This window comes from Homo sapiens, chromosome 21 (genome assembly GCF_000001405.40).
Source record: "Homo sapiens chromosome 21, GRCh38.p14 Primary Assembly".
In the NCBI taxonomy this organism is placed as follows: domain Eukaryota; kingdom Metazoa; phylum Chordata; class Mammalia; order Primates; family Hominidae; genus Homo; species Homo sapiens.
In genome coordinates, this window is record NC_000021.9 from 9,542,696 (window position 1) to 9,563,529 (window position 20,834).

At 38.6% G+C, this 20,834-nt stretch overlaps 1 pseudogene across 1 annotated transcript; it reads left to right on the forward strand.

Annotated features, from left to right (window-relative positions):
* The first annotated feature begins 334 nt into the window (after positions 1-334).
* NCOR1P4 (NCOR1 pseudogene 4) lies at positions 335-16,573 on the forward strand (annotated as a pseudogene). Its single transcript, NR_135512.1, has 3 exons — positions 335-413; positions 6,123-6,300; positions 16,278-16,573. The product of NR_135512.1 is annotated as an NCOR1 pseudogene 4 (transcript).
* Positions 16,574-20,834: the final 4,261 nt, after the last annotated feature.

The following is a 20,834-nucleotide window of genomic DNA, read 5'->3' on the forward strand; positions in this document are numbered from 1 at the left end:
ACAACTTTGTGGGAACTGGAGTGACCTAATTTGCTTCAGTTTAATAACTAATATTTTAGCATTTAAATGTCATAGAGGCATTGCCCTATCCCATACTTTTGTATCAGGAGGTTTCATTATTTTATCAGTTAAAAATTGCATATTTTGTAGGATCCTTTTTCTGCTTTGGTGAAATGTAGGCTTCACCTCTATTGTGATGCTTGGTGGATTCATTCTTGCTCATCTGAAGTGACATCTGCGGTCCTGCCACTGTGAAGTATATTTTTAGCTTTTTTTTTTTTTTTTTTTTGAGATGGAGTCTCGCTCTGTTGTCAAGCTGGAGTGCAGTGGCACGGTGCCAGCTCACTACAACCTCCACTTCCCAGATTCAAGTGAGTCCCCTGCCTCAGCCTCCCGAGTATCTGCGACTACAGGTGTGTGCCACCATGTCTGGCTAAATTTTTTTTGTATTTTAGTAGAGATGGAGTTTCACCATGTTGGCCAGGATGGTCTTGATTTCCTGACCTTGTGATCCATCAGCCTTGGCCTCCCAAAGTGCTGGGATAACAGGCATGAGCCACTGTGCCCGGCCATTTTTAGCTTTTTTTCCAATGTAGCTTAGGCCACCTTGAACACCTTTGCATAACACATTTTGGTTATGCAAAGGTTGTGGGCCAAAAGCCAGGAGTTCCTGCTGAGAGGAAAAATTACTTGTTTTTTGGCAGGTTAGTATTTGAAATTTTGTTGCAAGATTTTCCTGTTGAGTAAATATGTGTGTGTTTATTTAATATGAGAAGATTTAAAAAGGAACTTAAATAGATCAATTTCATTTTGCAATATTTTATTACCTGTTTGCAATATGTAAGAGGCTAGTTCTGGGTTTATCTGTATAATTCAGTTAGAAGTGCTATTGTCTTTTATGACAGTGATGTATAATTATTACTATATTATTCTCATCCTAAAACATTATATGTTGATATGTAAGAGATGAGGAAGTTGCTCATAAAATCTTGATCGGATTTCTTAAACTATTCATAGAATTGTTTTAGTTCATGAGTCAACCATGTAACTACCCTGAGTTAATGAGTTTTGGTGCTAAGAACTGAAATTATAATTTGATACTGCCACTTAAGGTGCTCCCTTCCCCTTCAGTCTGAACTTTAGATTCTTTCATTTCAGTGGGTTTCAAATGTAAAGTATTCTGCCGAGGTATCTTAGTGAACCAGGACTGGAGTGAAAGGTGGAGGGAGGGATGGGGAAAGGCAGGGGGAGCCTGAAAAAATGAATCCTAGGTCTCCCATTCTCACTAGATCAGAATGTTTCTCCATTGTACCTTTTGTACATTTAGCTTTCATTTAAGACTTCTGAGGAAAACATTCTGGTTAAAAAACAAGATCTGAGCACTGTTGCTGTGTATCTCGTGGACAAGTTTTGAGGAAGGAGGTTGTGGTGGTCTCCAGGCTGCAGTTCATGTGACGACAGGAAGGGCTTGCTTTGACCTGTAAATTTGTATGCCGGTAGGGGCTAATTTCCTGACTTTGCTAGTTTTTTTTTTTTTTTCCTTCTGTATTGGGCGAATAGTACTTTTAAATAAAACTAATTTTTTTTGTTTTTTTTGAGATAATAAAGTTGAACTTCATTAAAGTCATACCACAAAACTAGGACAACAGGAAGGATTACTGAAATGAGGGAAAAAATGGAGAAGTCACTTAACTTGTGACTTTGAGTGACATTGTTTGTAATTGTTGAACTCAGGACTCACCATAGCTGAAAGTTAAACAATGTGCATTAAAAAATTGTACCTCATGGGTTTCTAATCATTTAGGCCACTGTTAGAAAAAAGTGGGATGACCCTGGGTTAAAATCTTTTTTTTTTTTGCCTCTGCATTCCACTTATAGCTTTATTTATTTGGGATGTCTGAGTTGGGAGGAGAGCACAGAGATAGATCACTTAAAGCATGTTTTAGGACAGCAGATCAGAATTAGTTGGAAAACTTTTACAAAATGCATGAACGTTCATATAGTGAAATACTCTGTTTTTGGACAGAGTTTCATTCTTGTTGCCCAGGCTGGAGTGCAATGGCACGACCTCAGCTCACCGCAACCTCTGCCCCTGGTTTCAAGCGATTCTCCTTCCTCAGCCTCTCGAGTAGCTGGGATTACAGGCATGTGCCACCATGCCTGGCTAATTTTTGTATTTTCAGTAGAGACGGGGTTTCAGCATGTTGGTGAGGCTGGTCTCGAACTCTTGACCTCAGGTGATCCACCCGCCTCAGCCTCCCAAAATGCTGGGATTACAGGCGTGAGCCACCACATCTGGCCCATGTAGTGAAATTCTCTTTAGCAATAGAAAGAACCATAGATGCATGAGAATAATTGCCAAGATGTATTTTTTTTGGGGGGGGGGGGGCGGAGTCTCGCTCTGTCACCCAGGCTGGAGGTTGGTGATGTGATCTTGGCTTACTGAAAGCTCTGCCACCTGGGTTCATGCCTTTCTCCCCACCTCAGCGTCTTGAGTAGCTGGGACTACAGGCGCCCACCACCATGCCTGGCTAACTTTTTTGTATTTTTAATAGAGACGGTGTTTCACTGTGTTAGCCAGGATGATCTTGATCTCCTGACCTCATGATCCACCCTCCTCAGCCTCCCAAAGTGCTGGGATTACAGGCATGAGCCACTGCACCAGGCCAACCGAGATGTATTAAGTAATAAAAGCAAGATACAGAACAGTGTGTTTCTAGTATGCCACCATTTACATAGGGGAAAAAGTGTGATTGTATGTATGTGTGGGATATTTCTAAAGGACACTCTAGAAACTAGTAACTTTGGTTGCCTTCTGGGAGGGTAACTGGGTAGCAGCTGGAGGAGAAGGGCAAGGAGATTTTTCACTTTGTATTCTGTGGTACTTTTAAAAACTCTTAAGTCCTGCATATAATCTTTATTTCTAAAAAGATCAACCCTCCCCACAGTGCCACATGTTGGCTTTTCCCCTTCCACCTGGAGCAGTTGCAGATGTATAGATGAGGAGAAAGCTCCTCAGGTGGTTTTAATGTGTGGTCTCACGGAACATCTCACCTTCTCCTAGTTCACTACCTGCTGAGAAGGCCGCAAAGCATTGCAGAAAACATTAGTTTTTCCCATTTTGCCACAGACAATTTTGTGATATTGGAGGAATTATTGACTTTCTCTGATCTTCACATTTCTCACCTGTCAAATCAGTGTTAGTTGGGTAATCTCAACCTTCCAATCCTTAAGATTTGCTGACCTCCATGCCTCGGGCCTTGGAAGGGAACAGGGAGAAAACAGACTGAGGGACAGCTGGTCAGTCTTCTGACTCTTCTCCTGGTCAACTTTCACAACAGCAGGAAATGTGACATCAGGAGAAAGGATGATATATTTATTTAAAATATTTATATATTACATGGTACCACATGCAGTTTTTAAAGTTCTTTTTTTTTTTTTTTTTTTTGAGATGGAGTCTGGGCCCCTCACCCAGGCTGGAGTGCAGTGATGCCATCTCACCTCACTGCAACCTCCGCCTCCCAGCTTCAAGTGATTCTCCTGCCTCAGCCTCCCAAGTAGCTGGGTTTACAGGTGTGTGCCACCATGCCCGGCTAATTTTTTGTATCTTTAGTAGAGACTGGGTTTCACCATGTTGGCCAGGCTGGCCTTGAACTCTGACCTCGTGATCTGCCCACGTTGGCCTCCTAAAGTGCGTGAGCCACCACGCCTGGCCTTAAAGTTCTTTCTATACATTTTTTCTTTTATTTTTTGGGTCAGAGTTTCATTGTATCACTCAGGCTGGAGTGCAGTGGCACAATCACGGCTCACTGCAGTCTTGACCTCCTGGGCTCAAGTGATCCTCCTGCCTCAGCCTCCCAGGTAGCTGGGACCATGGGTGTGTACTGTATGCCTGACTAATTATTTTTTCTTTTTCTTTTTTTTTTTTTTTTGAGACAGAGTCTCGCTCTGTCACCCAGGCTGGAGTGCAGTGGTCCGATCTCGGCTCACTGCAAGCTCCGCCTCCTGGGTTCACGCCATTCTCCTGCCTCAGTCTCCCGAGTAGCTGGGACTACAGGTGCCCACCACCACGCCCGGCTACTTTTTCGTATTTTTAATAGAGACAGAGTTTCACCGTGTTAGCCAGGATGGTCTCGATCTCGTGACCTCACGATCCGCCCGCCTCGGCCTCCAAAAGTGCTGGGATTACAGGTGTGAGCCACCGCACCTGGCCGCCTAACTAATTATTATTATTATTTTAATTTTCTTGTAGAGATAGTTCTGGCTTCATTGCCCATTCTGGTCCTGAATACCTGGCCTTAGGAGATCCTCCTATCTTGACTTCCCAAAATGCTGGGATTACAGGTGTGAGCCACTGTGGCCAGCCTATAAGTTTTGTTTTAAAGTTAGATTGAATGACAATTCCCTAGAAAATTTTATTTTCTAAACCTAACTGGATAAAGAATATATTGATAAAAACTGGGAAATTGATCAATTTGTCATACTGAATTATTTTTTGAATTTGCCCTCTTCCCAAATACCTTGAAATGATGGAAACAAAATTAAAACTTTACTAATAAAGTATTAAATGGGTGAAGATTTTATATATATAAAATTATATCTGTTATATTTTTATGTATGCAATTATATAGTTTTCATCTTATATTTAAATTCTATTTTTTTAAAACCACCCAATTAGGTAATAATAGAACTCCGGTCTTAAAGTAAGAGTGTATGTACACACATGCACATGTGTATATGTGTATATAAAATTTTTGTCATGGGAGTTTTATATATAATTAAGATAGAAATTATATATTATTGCACACATTTTTACACATATGTAATATTCTCTACCATATGTATGTAAAATACACCCATATGAATTATGTATAACATAAATATTTGTGTTATCCTGAAACATAAACGTAGATAATCATGTTTTAGAATGGGAATACTCAGGAGTATAGGGGTACCTGTTCTCCCATTAGTCAGTCTGTGAATTCAATATTTATGTTTTCTCATCCAGAATTTCTCTGGGACCTGACAAGCTGACTCTCATGCTTGTGTGTAAGAGGAAATGTTCTAGAATAGCTGGGAAGGTGGTGAAAGTAGCAGCAACAACGAAGCACAGTGAGGTGAAACTTGCCCTGCTGGATATGAAACCTCGTAATACTAGAGTAATTTGAAAAGTGTGGCATTGGCACAGGAAAAGACAGACAAATCAAATTAGTCTAGAATTGTGGACAAGTAGGAATAGAGTTTATAATGAGGATGGCTTTCTTTTTCTTTCTTTCTTTTTTTTTTTTTTTTGAGATGAAGTCTCACTCTGTTTCCCCAGCTGGTGTGCAATGGTGTGATCTCGGCTCACTGCAACTGCCACCTCCCAGGCTCAAGCAATTCTCCTGCCTCAGCCTCCCAAGTAGCTGGGATTACTGGCGCATGTCACCATGCCCGGTTAATTTTTGTATTTTTAGTAGAAAAGAAGTTTCACCATGTTGGCCAGGCTGGCCTCGAACTCCCGACCTCAAGTGATCTTCCCGCCTCAGCATCCCAGAGTGCTGGGATTACAGGAGGAGCCACCGCTCCTGGCCTTTTTTTTCTTTATTTGCTATTTCAGTTCCATAGAAGCAAGCAAAGAGTAACATAACAAATATCCATCTACCTACCATCTGTGATTACAAAACTTAGTATTTTATCATCCTTGCTTCACAATTATTTAATAAAGACAATACTTCCTCTGCACAAATGCTTACCTTAAAACTACTCTTGAATTCTTTTCACAATTGACTTATCAACTCCCAAATTTAAAACCATGTATTTTTGTCTTTATATGCCTTAGACATTTATAGAAAGGTATTTACTGAGCAGTTACTATGTGCCAGATATTATGCTGTTTTTATATACTGTTTTTACTTTATATAGCTAATTATATTATTTGTCACATACTAACCTATTTTAAATATAAAAAGAAATGATGCATTAATGTTTTCAAACCTTGGTAACTTTTATTAAGTAAATACCTGAGAGGAAGCTTTTCCTGGTAATTGTGGTTTTATTTATGTATCTATAGTTATAATTTATTAGAAGTACACTTGGTGTTTTAGTTCTTATTAATTCTATTTTTTTCCCATCCTGTTTAGATGGTTTCCTAGAAACATGATTGTTTATTGGCGTTGATCTCGCAGTCTGGTGAGAACTTCTTTACTGATAATGTCAAGTTCAGTTTATCCTCCCAACCAAGGAGCATTCAGCACAGAACAAAGTCGTTCTCCTCCTCACTCTGTAAAGTATACGTTTCCCAGCACCCACCACCAGCAGGTAAGGAACAAATGCTATGCAAATTGCACGTTTTTTTGTTTTTCTTTACTTTTCCTATTTAATACACATGTTGGTAGAAACCACCAAATTTGCCTTTTTTTTTAAGTGGCAAGAGCTATTTACAAAGACAAGGAACCAAAGGTTGGGAATTAATTATTTCTGTCTTCTTACTGTGGCTTTATGCCGATTTCAGGAGTTGAACTTGTCTTTGTTTTGATGACAGGAGTTGATGATAAATAGAAAACTTATCAATTCTCTAGAATTTCTAGGGTAAGACCTATATTTATACTCCCAAGTTGTGGTTGAGTTTTAAGCTGGCTAGATAACTTGGCATGTCTTGAGTGATGGCCAGGATAAAGACCTCTGTCTTCTTGAGAGATTGATGGTAGGAAGATTTGCATAGTAGGTAGGAAGGAAGGAAGGGATGGTAGATAGGAAGGAAGACTTTATTATAGGAAGAGTTTGTAAGAGATTGATTTACCTTGTGAAAAATAAAGTATGAGGTGAAATAATCATCTCAGAGTAGACCAAAGATATGGATGTAAGAGGTTTAAAGAAAAATAGGAAAGGATGGGATAAAACGGTCATCTCAGAGACTAAGAAAGCAGATTTGTCATCAAAATGTACTACGGGGTCCTACTGAGGACTCCTTTGAAGTGTAGTCATGATTACAGAGTTAGAATGGACATTCCTACGATGTTCCTGTGTAGGGAGGCATTTAGTCTTTTACCATTACGTGTAACGTTAGTTGCACATTTTTGTTGATGCCTTTTTTGGTTGAAGAGGTTGCTTTCTGTTCCTAGTTTGAGAATTTCTGTCATGATTGGTGTTGAATTTTGCTTGTGTTGTCCCCCTACCCCAGTGTTATTCATCTGATTACCAATTTTCCGGATTATTGTTGCTGCTGGTTTTTTCATAAAATCAGGCCGGGCGCAGTGGTTCACGCCTGTAATCCCAGCACTTTGGGAGGCTGAGGCGGGTGGATCACTTGAGGTCAGGAGTTTGAGACCAGCCTGGCCAACATTGTGAAACCCCGTCTCTACTAAAAATACGAAAAAATTAGCCGGGCATCGTGGCAGGCACCTGTAATCCCAGCTACTTGGGATGCTGAGGCTGGAGAATCGCTTGAACCCGGGAGGCAGAGGTTGCAGTGAGCCAAAATCGTGCCGGTGCACTCCAGCCTGGGCAACAAGAGTGAAACCCCATCTTAAAAGAAACAAAATTAACTTTGCAGTTTAGTTTATATATATATACACATATATCTATATTAGAATGCACTCATTATATGTGTACATTGTAACAAATTTTGACAAATTCATAAACTCATAGAACCATCACCAAAATGAAGATGAACAACATTTCTAACACTCCAGCACGTTCCTTGGCACCCCATCCTCCTTGGCACCCACCCGTGTCAGTCCTCCTCCCCCAATTCCTACTAACCTCAGCTCCTAGGAAACCACTGATCTGCTTTCTGTCATAAAACATTGTATACATTCTGAGCTTCATGGGAACTCTTTTGTCTATGACCTCTTTTGCTTCCCATAATACTTCTGTGATCTATCCATGTCTGGCATGTCTCAGTTCATTCCTTTTTATTGTTGAGTATGGGTATACCACAATTTGTTTATCCAGTCACCTATTCCAGTTTTTGATTATTATAGATAAAATTACTTAGAAAACATATATCTATATATTGTATCTAGATTATTAAAAGAAGTTTTGCCTCATTTTCTTAACAGTATCCTTTGGAGAGCATACATTTTTTATTTTTATCAAGTCCGATGTAGTTTATTTTTTGAGACAGAGTCTTGCTCTGTCGCCTAGTCTGGAGTGCTATGGTGCCATCTCAGCTCACTGCAACCTCTGCATCCCAGGTTCAAGCAATTCTCCTACCTCAGCCTCCTGAGTAGCTGGAATTACAGGCATGTGCCACCACACCCAGGTAATTTTTGTATTTTTAGTAGAGATGGAGTTTCACCATGTTGGCCAGGCTGGTCTCGAACTCCTGACCTCAGGTGATCCACTCTCCTCAGCCTTCCAAAGTGCTGGGATTACAGGTGTGAGCCACTACACCCAGCCCCGATGTACTATTTTTATTGTTCATTTTTTGTGCTTTTTGTGTCAAACCTAAGACGTTTTTGCCAAATTCAAGGTCACTAGGATTTTCACTTACGTTTTCTTTTTTTCTATTTTTGTTTTGTTTTGTTTTTGTTTTTGTTTTTGTTTTTTTGAGACAAAATCTTACTCTGTTGCCCAGGCTGGAGTGTAGTGGGGCAATCTCGGCTCACTGCAAGCTCTGCCTCCTGGGTTCACACCATTCTCCTGCCTCAGCCTCCCGAGTAGCTGGGACTACAGGCGCCCACCACCACGCCCAACTAATTTTTTTTGTATCTTTAGTAGAGATGAGCTTTCACTCTGTTAGCCAGGATGGTCTCAATCTCCTGACCTTGTGATCCACCTGCCTCGGCCTCCCAAAGTGCTGGGATTACAGGTGTGAGCCATCGCGCCCGACCAATTTTCACTTATGTTTTCTTCTCTAAGTTTTATAATTATAGGTGTTTCATTTAGGTAAATTACCTATTTTGAATTAAAATTTTATATGTGGTGTGGTAAGCGTTGAGTTTCAGTCTTTCTGCATTAAGAATGATGTTAGCTTGGAGAGTGCTCTTTACTCCTGTGTTTTCTTTTCTTAAGGGGTTTGTGTAGGATTGGTACTTTTCTTTGAAATGGAGTCTTGCTCTGTCATCCAGGCTGGAGTGCAGTGGTACAATCTCAGCTCACTGCAACCTCCATCTCCCGGGTTCAAGTGATTCTACTGCCTCAGCCTCCTGAGTAGTTGGGATTACAGGTGCGTGCCACCACACCTGGCTAATTTTTGTATTTTCAGTAGAGATGGGGTTTCACCGTGTTGGCTAGGCTGGTCTCGAACTTCTGAACTCAAGAGATCCGCCCGACTCAGCCTCCCAAAATATTGGGATTATAAGCATGAGCCACTGCGCCTGGCCTTTTCTCTTTCTTTCTTTCTTTCTTTCTTTCTTTCATTTCTTTCTTTCATTTCTTTCTCTTTCTTTCTTGGCTTTCTTTCTTTTTTTTCTTTTTCTTTCTTCCTTTCTTTCTCTCTCTCTCCTCTTTCTCCTCTTTCTTTCTTTGAGTCTCACTCTGTCACCCAGGTTAGAGTGGGCAATTGCGTGATCTCGGCTCACTGCAACCTCTTCTTCGTGGTTCAAGCAATTCTCCTGCTTCAACCTCCCAAGTAGCTGAGATTACAAGCGCCCACCACCATGCTTGACAAATTTTTTGTACTTTTAGTACGGTTTTGCCATGTTGGCCAGGCTGGTCTCGAACTCCTGACCTTAGGTGATCTACCCGCCTCAGCCTCCCCAAGTGCTGGGATTTCAGGTGTCAGCCCACCACGTGGTGGCTGGGATTGATACTTTTTCAACCTTAGATATTTGATAGAATTTATCAATGAAACTTGGTCCCAGATTTTTTTTTCTGGGAAGAATTTAAATATGAATTAAATTTCTTTAATAGTTATAATTCAGATAATTTTTTCTTGAGTCAGTTTGGGTATATTTTGTTGTTTAAGGTATCAGATTTATTGACATAATTTGTCTCAATATTTCCTCATCATTTCAGTGCCTTTGAGATATGTTGCTATGTTGTTAATCATGTTGATAATGTTTGTTTTTATTATTTTTTAATCAGTCTGCCTAGAGGTTTATCAGTTTAATAGATTTTTGAAGAACTAGCTTTGGTTTCAATCATTTTCACTATTTTTCTATTTCACTGATTTCTACTCTTTATTTTTTTTTCCTTCTCTAATTGCCTGTGTATATATCATCACTTCATTCTTTTTGTGTATTCAAGTTTTCTTCTGATATTATTGTGTTTTTGCCTGAAGCACTTCATTTCTCTCAGTTTAGCTAAGTCTTTTGGCAATTAATTCTCTCAGCTTTTATTTGCCTGAAAATGTTTTTATTTCTGAAGACTATTTTCACTAGATATAGAATTCTAAGTTGACAGTTTCAGTATTTTAAGAGATGTCATATCATTGTATTCTGGTTTGTATGGTTTCTGACTAGAAGCCTGAGGTCATTCTTAATTTTTGCTCATTAATATATAAAACACATTTTCCCCCCTGTGGCTACTTGTTTTTTTTTTTTTTTTTTTTTGAGGCATTCTTGCTCTGTCATTCAGGCTGGAGAGCAGTGGTACGATCTCAGCCCACAGCAACCTCCACCTCCCAGGTTCAAGCAATTCTCATGCCTCAGCCCCCTGAGTAGCTGGGGCTGCAGGCATGCACTACCATGCCCAGCTACTTTTTTTGTTTTTTTGTTTTGAGACAGAGTTTCACTCTTGTTGCCCAGGCTGGAGTGCAATGATGCGATCTTGGCTCACCACAACCTCCGCCTCCTGGGTTCAAGTGATTCTCCTGCCTCAGCCTCCCAAGTAGCTGGGATTACAGGCATGCACCACTATGCCCGGCTAATTTTGTATTTTTAGTAGAGATGGGATTTCACCATGTTGGTCAGGCTGGTCTCGAACTCCTGACCTCAGGTGATCCATCCACCTCAGCTTCCCAAAGTGCTGAGATTACAGGCATGAGCCACTGTGCCCGGCCCCAGCTAATTTTTTGTATTTTTAGTAGGGACAAGTTTCCACTATGTTGGCCAGGCTGGTCTCGAACTCCTGGCCTCAAGTGATCTGCCTGCCTAACATATTCTAATACTTTTCCCAGAGTCTTTTTGTTTCAATTTTTCTTTTTTTTAAGCATACTGAAATTTAAAATGTTTTTACTGCCATCAAATATTTTTTCTATGTTTGTTAACCTTTATGCCTGATTGCCCTTTCTTCCCTGATATCAGATAAATAAGTACCCACACATTTTCTTTGAGTTTTCATGCAATGAAGAGTAATTTAAAAGATAATAAATGTATCTACAATTTATTTTCAAATAGTTCAGCCAAAATGAAGTTTTATAAACATACACAGACACACACAGAAAGTAAATATGTTAAAATGTTAACTACTGGTGAATCTAGATGAAGGATAAATGAGTGTCCATTATACTGTTCCTTCAACTTTTAAGTGAATTTGAAATTTTTCAAAATAGTAAGTTGGATGGGGAAATATTCTTTGCCATAAGCTAGAAATTAGCTAAGCTTCTAGGTGTTTTGTGACCCACCTTATCATTTGAAATATCCTTATCCTACAGTAGTCTGTGGGGTTTATAAGAAGTGTTCTGCTGCATTAAAAAAAAGAAATTTAAAAATATAGTGAATAAAGGTCATCTTCCATGGCTGAATACATTACCAAAAATGTAATTTATAGAATTTCGTTTTTTAGCAGACAAGTGTCTTAAAAACTCATTCATTAAAATGAGATGTGTTGTGTGGTAATGTGACCCATTTCCATGTTATAGTTGAGAAACTGGGTGTTCAGAAAAATTAAGTGACCTAGGTAGTACCTCCTGAGCTGGAATTAACCCAGGACCCCTGACTCTAGTCCTGCTTTTTTTCCTCTAAAGTGTAAACCATGACTACTACTACTAACTAATACTTCTCTTTCCATCTCCCTCTCCCCATTCTCTCCCAACTGCCCACCTCCAGAAGTAAGTATTTAAAAAGAACTAACATTTGTTAGATTTTTTTTAAATGTTAAGCCTAGGTATATCATTTATAGAAGAATTAAATAAGCTTGAAAGAAAAAATTACCTGCAGTTTTACCAGTTAAAAGTTATTAACATTTTCATGTTGATTCTTCCCTATTTGTGTGTGTATTATTTTAATTTTAGTTTAATTTAATTTTATGGGTTTTTTTTTTTGTTTTTTGTTTTTTTTTGCTGCTGCTCCTTGTGTAACAGGGCTAACCCATAGGCAGTGTGTCCAGAGTCGGCCCGTATGAATGTTTTAATGTGCTCACTTTGTACATTCTGTTTAACTTTACTTTTGCTTAAATACGTGCTTAACTTCTTTTTGTGTCAATAAGTTTACAACTGTATTGTTAGTGGCTACTTAGTATTCCACATATGAATAAATAAAGTTATTTATTTAATCAATTTTCATACATTTAGGTTACCTGTTTGTTCAGAAGTACGGTGTTGTGACATGCATTTTTTTTTTTTTTTTGAGATGGAGTCTCACTTTGTTGCCCAGGCTGGAGTGCAGTGGCATGATCTTGGCTCACTGCAACCTATACCTCCCAGCGATTCTCCTGCCTCAGGCTCCCAAATAGCTGGGACTACAGGTGCATGCCACCAAGTTCAGCTAATTTTTGTATTTTTAGTGGAGACGAGGTTTCACCATGTTAGCCAGGCTGGTCTCGAACTCCTGACCTCAGGTGATCTGCACACCTTGGCCTCCCAAAGTGCTGGGATTACAGGCATGAGCCACTGCAGCTGGCCCGTACATTATTTAGCTTGTTTTTTCTGTATGCATTCTTACTTGTTTCCTTAAGGTAGATTTCTTTTAGTATAATTAATTACAGACCAGGTTGATTTTTAAGGTTCAGTGGGTATTTCCAGATTGTCTTGCAAAAGAGTAGGGCCAGTTCTTAACTCCTGACAACAGTGTATAAAGGTACCCACTTCTTGGCCGGGCATGGTGGCTCACGCCTGTAATCCCAGCACTTTGGGAGGTCGAGGCAGGCAGATCACCAGAGGTCAGGAGTTCGAGACCGGCCTGGCCAACATAGTGAAACCCCGTCTCTACTAAAAATACAAAAATTAGCCAGGTGTGGTGGCCGGTGCCTGTAATCCCAGCTACTCAGGAGGCTGAGGCAAGAGAATCGCTTGAACCTGGGAGGCAGAGGTTGCAGTGAGCTGAGATTGTGCCACTGCACTCCAGCCTGGGGGACAAGAGTGAGATGTCGTCTCAAAAAAATAAAAATAAAAAAAAATAAAGGTACCCACTTCTTCTGTATCCTTGCTGACACCACATGTTTATCGTTTAACAAAAAGATTGTTAATTTGATGAATGATTGTTTTTAAATTAAACGTATTATTTGTTAGTAAAATTTAACATTTTTTTATTTGTTTATTGGTTATTTTTCCTGTTTTGTAAATTGATTTTTCATATATGTTGCCCATTTTGCTGTTGGTTTATTTTATATTGAGTTGTTAGAGTGCATGTTTTGCAAATGGTTTTCCTATTTAATCATTTGCCTTTTTAATTTGTTGTTACTGTTTTGATAAGCAGAAGATGGTGTTTTTGCATGTGTGGTGGTGGTTGTTGTTGTTGTTGTTGTTGTTGTTGTTTTTGAGATGGAGTCTTCCTCTGTCACCCAGGTTGGAGTGCAGTGGTGCCATCTCTGCTCACCACAACCTCCGCTTCCCGGGTTCAAGCCATTCTCCTGCCTCAGCCTCCCAAGTAGCTGGGATTACAGGCTTGCACCAGCACACCTGGCTGATTTTTGTACTTTTAGTAGAGATGGGGTTTTACCATATTGCCCAGGCTGGTCTCAAACTCCTCACCTCAAGTGATCTGCCTGCCTCGGCCTCCCAAACTGCTGGGATTACAGGTGTGAGCCATCATGCCCAGCAGAAGACTGTTTTTTATTTTATCCATCAATTTTTCTTTTTTAAAAACTAATGTATTTTTTATCTTTTGCTTTTGGCTTTCCTGAACCCACGATAATGTGAATCTTTTTTTTTTTTTTAATTTGAGGCTTTTTGTGATTTGCTAATAAGCCTCTTATAAATGTTTGCTATTACTTGGCTTTTTTTATGTAAGATATGAGGTAAGAATCTAACTCTTTTTTCTTCAGGATTGGTATCTTGCTGTTTCAACCCAAGATTGTAAACTTCATGAAGGGAGATATCTTGTCTGTTTTGATCCACCACCCTATTCCTGTTATATAAGTAGGCACTTGAGGATTTGGTTTCTTATTAAATATTTAATATTTAGAAAGGAAGTCAGTGGAAAATATTCATTTGTAATATTAATTCTTTGCATCAGAATATTAATCTTTGCATCTGATGCATCAGATGCATCAGAATCACCTGAGGAGCACTTTTGAAGTCTGCTGATTCAAAATGTAATCTCTTTTTCTGTTATATATGTTTCTGTAACACAAATTTGCTCATATGCATATAGTGGGAGAATGACATTAATGTATCATGAAAGTCCTGGTAGTTCACCAAAGATCTTTCTTTATGCATTAACATTTCTAAGTTCTCAGGAGTATGCTGTCTCATAATGAAAGAAAAAGGCTTCACAACACATGAAGACTTAAGAATATTTGAACATTCTGCATTTAGTTTTCATTTAGTGCAAATAGTAGCTGGTTTAGTGAATTTAAGAACTGTCGTGCTTTTCACAGTGTTAGTGAAGATTCAAGCATTGAAAAGACAATGTGAAGACAAATTTTCTTGTATTTTTTTTTAGCGTTGATAAAGGAGGGAGGGGGAGAAAAAGAGGTTGATAAACATGGTTATATGCCAAATCTGATTTTTTTTCTTTTTTTTTAGATGGAGTCTCCCTCTGTCACCCATGCTGGAGTGCAGTAGTGCAATCTCAGCTCACTGCAACCTTTCCCTCCTGGGTTCAAGCCATTCTCCTGCCTCAGCCTCCCGAGTAGCTGGGACTACAAGTGCCCGCTACCACACCCAGCTAATTTTTGTATTTTTTAGTAGAGACGGGGTTTAACCATGTTGGTGAGGCTGGTCTCGAACTCCTGACCTTGTGATCTACCTGCCTTGGCATCCCAAAGTGCTGGGATTACAAGCATGAGCCACCATGCCCGGCCACTGATATTTTATTTAGATGAAACATACTGGTTTATTTTGGAAGCCAATGACCTCACGGATTTACATCTTAAGAGAGGAATCATAAACTCTAGGGCTTAAAGCTGCCAAAGATTGATTGTATGCCAGATGCAAAGGATACTGGAGCTTTAACTCTATTAAGTCTATTAGAATTGTTATTGCTTTTATTGGTGCTTTCCTTACAGAACTGTACAGGTTTTAGGGTATAGCCATAATCTTATTTTCCCAGAAGGCCTCTCAGATTCAGTGCATACTATTACAGAATATGAGGCTTTTCATCAGTGTATATTAGCTGAAATATCTGTACTACGGTGTTTTGAAGCAACTGTCCAGTTATCTCCTGTAGGCATTCTTGGCTCAGAACTATTGACTTTTCACAGTTCCTTAATCATTATTTAATACATTTTAGGGTTCTGTAATCCTGTGAACTACCCTCATTGTAGGTTTCTGATAGTCTAAGTAAAATTAGTGCTCTAAACTTTATGTTTTATAATATTGCTTATATCTTTACAGCAGACTGGAAATTAATAGGGTGTGTGTGGATGTGTGTTGGAGTGGATTTTGGGTGAAGGGGCTTTCATTCTGCTACAGCTCTGCTGATTTGGAGGTGCAGTGGGATGTTTTTGGCTAAGGAAATGTTACGTATGCTGTAGTGTGGGCTTTATGGAAGTAGGCCCAGAGATAGTAGCAGCTGAAGTTCCTAGGTCACTTCTCTGACTCGTGTACCTCAGTTTTGGTTTGGAAAGCCTGAAAACTTCTGATAGGAACACTTGGCCATGTTATAGTTGTTAAGTTGGGTGGACACACAGGTTTTACCTGGAATAATACTATTTCCCAGCCAGTGGTTCAGACCATTTGAAGAGCCATTGCAAGGAAATGGCTGAGAAGTTGGTATCTTCGTCATGATTGCATTATTTACCTATAAATTCTCTATAATTTCAGTATTGTTACACTAGAGGCTGATCAGCACTAACTCACCTGACTTTGTATAGCTTTTAGGCTCTTCAGAATAGTACATGGTATATCTAAACTATAAAAGTGAGGTGAGAATTTGCATATATGTAAATATGAAAGTTACTGCTAAAGGTTTCATTAGACACATATTACACATGGCTCTGCTGTGGTTTAAAACTGACTGTTTCATTTAAGGCAATCTGGACTCTATTAGTGAGAAATGAATTGTTTTTCTTGGTTTTATTCTCTAAAGGATCCAGCATTTGGAGGCAAACATGAAGCTCCATCCTCTCCAATTTCGGGGCAACCATGTGGAGATGATCAAAATGCTTTACCTTCAAAACTTTCAAACGAAGAGTTAATACAAAGTATGGATCGTGTAGATTGAAAAATTGCAAAAGTAGAACAGCAGATCCTTAAACTGAAAAAGAAACAAGTAAAAGTCTTTGCCTAATATATTCTAAGAATGTATGTTTTTCTCCCTACAGAAGATAATTTTGAGTTTTCCATATTTTGAAACTTTACATAAAAGGAATCATGCCTTACGTATTCTGACTTGCTGTTTTTTGCTACTATTGTGGTTTTCTTACATTCATTCATTTTCCTTGCTGCACTGTCTGATTATATGATTGCAGAGAGTGAAATTTGTTTTTCCATTCTATTTTTGATTTTTTTTTGATAATCCATACAATGGTGCTGGTTTTTGGTTCACATGTAGAGATTTTCCAGGGCATGTGCCCAGGATTGGCAGTGCTTGGCCCAAGATTATGCACAGTGAACTATTTAATAGATGATACCAAATTTGCTAAGAAGTAACACCATTTTATATTCCCACTGGCAGCTTATGTGGGTACTTATTTGTGCACATTCTTGCCTTTACTTGATATCATTTTTTCAGTTGGATATGAAATAGTCTTGTGTGGTTTGGAAGGAGGCTGAGCTTATTTTCATTTGTTTATGAGTTATTTGGGTTCCTTATGTGCATTGTTCAAGTCTTTTGTCTATAGTCTCCTATTTCATCATTGAAACTTTTAGGATTTCCTGAAGTCCCTTGTCAGATATGTGTATAGAAGATTTGCCTAGTTTGAGGCCTGTCACTTCACTTTTAGCCCAGTATCCATTCTAAGTGTACACTAAGTGCCTTTTTTTTTCCAGATTTGGAGTCTCACTCTGTCACCCAGGCTGGAGTGCAGTGGTGTGATGTTGGCTCACTGCAACCTCTGCCTCCCAGGTTCAAGCGATTCTCCTGCAACAGCTTCCCGAGCAGCTGGGACTGTAGGCGCTTTAAGTGCTTTTAATGTATTCATAAAGTTGTACAGCTATCACAACTCTCTAATTCTAGAACATGTTTATCATTTCAAAAAGAAACTCCATACTTACTAGCAGTTACTCCCCATTTCCCCCTTTTCCCAGCCCCTGGCAACCACTAGTCTATTCTCTGTCTCTATGGACTAGCATATGCCAAATACCAGAAAAAACAGAATCATATGTGACCTTTTGTGTTTGGCTTCATTTATTTACCATGTTGTCCTGATTCATCCATGTTGTATCTTGTCTCAGCACTTCATTGCTTTATATGCCTGAATCCCATTGCATGAGTATACTGTTTTGTTTATCCATTTATTAGTTGATGGATATTTGAGTTGTGTTCATTTTTTGACTATCATTAATAATGTACTGTGATGAGATTCATGTACTCGTTTTTGTGTGGACGTATTTTTACAATTTTCTTTATGTATCTAGGAGTGGGCGTATGGTAAATCTATGTTTAAATTTTTGAAAAACTTCAAAACTGTGTTCCAAAGTCTCTGTACCATTTTATATTATTACCAGCAGCGTACGGAGGTTCCATTTTTTCCTACCTCCTTGCCAACATCTGTTATTTTCCTTTTTTAAAAAAATATAGCCATACTTGTAGATGTGAAGTGGTATCTAGTTGTAGTTTTCATTTGCATATCCTTAATGACTAATGATGTTGAGCATCTTTTCATGTGCTGATTGGTGATTTGTATATCTTTTTAGAGAAATGTTCATTTAGATTGTTTGCTCATTTAATTGTGTTGTCTTTTTGTTATTCTAAGAATTCTTTATATATTCTGGACATTAGTTCCTCATCAGATGTATGACTTAATAGATATTTTCTCTCATTCTGTGAGTTCTTTTCACTTTCCTGATGGTATCCTTTGATGTACAAAAGTTTTGAATTTTGTTAAAGTCCAGTTTGTTTTTCCTTTTGTCACTCTTGCATTTGGTGTTGTATCTAAGACCCATTGCCTAATTCACGGTCACAGATTTATACCTATGTTTTCTTCTACAAATTTTATAGTTTTACCCCTTATAGTTGGGTCTTTGATCCTGATAGTGTTTTTTTGGTGAACAGAATTTGTTTAGGTTTTACATGAAAACCCACTGGGGCTATTAAGGTAGTTTTACTATATTATCTTTAGAAGTTTTATGATTTTCCTTTTCATCTTATTGCTAATCCACTGGAAACTACATGTTGTATAGTCAGTGTTCATTTATATTTACTCACATATTTGTCTTCTTACGTACTCACTATCTATTCTCGCAACTCAAGTCTTCCATCTAGGGGAACACCCTTCTACTGAAGAACGTCTCTTAGAATTTCCTTTAGTGAAGGTCTCTTAGTTAGCAAATTCAGTATTTGTTTGGTTTTTATGACTTAAATATTGTCTTATATTTGGCCTGTTTATTAAAAGATATACTAATTTCGTATGTGATTATTTTTTCTTAGTACATTGTCTTCCTGCTTCCATTTTTAAGACATTAGCTCTTGGTCTAAATCCATATTCTTTCATGGATAATGTGAATTTTCTCTCGGTTGTTTTCAATATATTCTTTTCTTCAGGGTTCTGTTATTTTTATGATGATATATTTAGGTGTTTTATTTTCCTTTTAAATCTGTCCAACTTGAGCTTCATGAATATGAAGGGTGGAGTTTTTCATCATTTTGAGAAAATTCCAAGCCATTATCTTTTTTACAAAACCTTTCTAACAGTTTATTATTTTACTTATGAAATCCTGTTAGTTGTAATATCTTGTCACTCTTGTCTTCCACGTCTCTTGTTTTTTTCTTATTTTTTTACTTCTTTGGGCTTCATTCTGAGCAATTTCTTCAGCCTGTCTTCCAGTTTACATTTTCCTTTTCAATTATATGTAATCTGCTGTCGAATCTGTCTTCAATTTCAACAATTATGTTTTTATTTCTGGAATTTCTATTTGGCTCCTTCTCAAATCTGCCTGGTCATTTTTTAAAATGTTTTTTGCTTTCATTGAGTTGTATTAAATTTTTGTTATATGCCCAACAATTCTAATTAAGTCTTTATTGGTTTGGATTTGCTGAGTCTCTTTTCTTTTTTCTTTTGTCTTTATTTTCTTTACTTGTACAATGGTAATCTAGTAATAACACCAACTAAATCACATGATTGTTTTATGAATTGAGATAATGAATATATTGCATAATATGTGGTACATAGTAAATGTATATGCAATCCATTATAATAATTAGAAATAATGAAATATAATGTATGATTATTATGAAATATACCAGAGCCACAAATTTTATTGAGCGATACAAAGGACAACTAGAGAAAACAAAGAAATATGCCATAGCTGGATGGAAAGAGTAATAATAATGTTGTGTGTTCATCTTGGACTAAATCATGTCTCATATAATTTCAATAAAATTCCAATTAAATTCATTTTTAGAACATGGCAAATATATTGTAAAGTTAATGTAAAAGAACAAACAGGGCCAGGCTCAGTGGCTCAACCTGTAATCCCAGCACTTTAGGAGGCTGAGGCGGGCATATCACGAGGTCAGGAGATCGAGACCATCCTGGCTAACACGGTGAAACCCCATCTCTACTATAATACAAAAAATTAGCCAGGCATTGTTGCAGGCGCCTGTAGTCCCCGCTACTCAGGAGTCTGAGGCAGGAGAATGGCGTGAACCCAGGAGGAGGAGCTTGTGGTGAGTGGAGATCACGCCACTGCACTCAAGCTTGGGCGACAGGGCGAGATTCCATCTCAAAAATAAAATAAAATAAAATAAAAAAAGAAAAAGAATTTGTGTCTTGTTTCCTCATTAATGTTGGTTGAAAGCATGTTGACACTTGTCTTTGACTTGTGTTTTATTAACATCGATTGGTATATTAAAAGTTCCTCTGAGCTTACCTTCTCTAAAAAAATATAAGAAAAAGGGCCTGTGGGAAGGACTATGAGGCAGAGGGGCTGGTGTGAGCACATGCTGGGCAGGAGGAAAGAGGTAATGACCAGGACCAGGGAAATCCCCAAACCCAGCAAGTCAGGGAGCCAAATGAAAGCCTTTCATCCTGTATCGGCCACCTAACCCCATCGACACTCCAAGTGAACATTCTCTTTTAGAGATACTCATTGTCCTGTTTCTTCTGTAATCTTGTAAAGGAATCTGATTTCTCCCATTAGCCTTTCACAGGACTAAAATTTCACATTAGAATGCTATTGTTTAGAAGGCATCTTCTTAGATTAGGCTGCAAGGAGATTGAGGAAGTTACTGTCAGTCACTTATACCCCACAGGGACATTAATTCACCAGAGCTTTGGTGGGGGAGTAGAGGAGCTCATTACAAGCAGGTCTGGATGCTGCACAGAGTGTAAAGGGGGCAGAAGGATCCAGGACACCTAGGCCTGGAGATATCGCCAATGCTGGGAGGTACTGTTATTATCCCCATTTTACAGAGGAAGAAACAGACACAGGCAGGTAATGTTATCAAGACCACGCTGCCCCACAGTACAGGAGCCAGGATCTA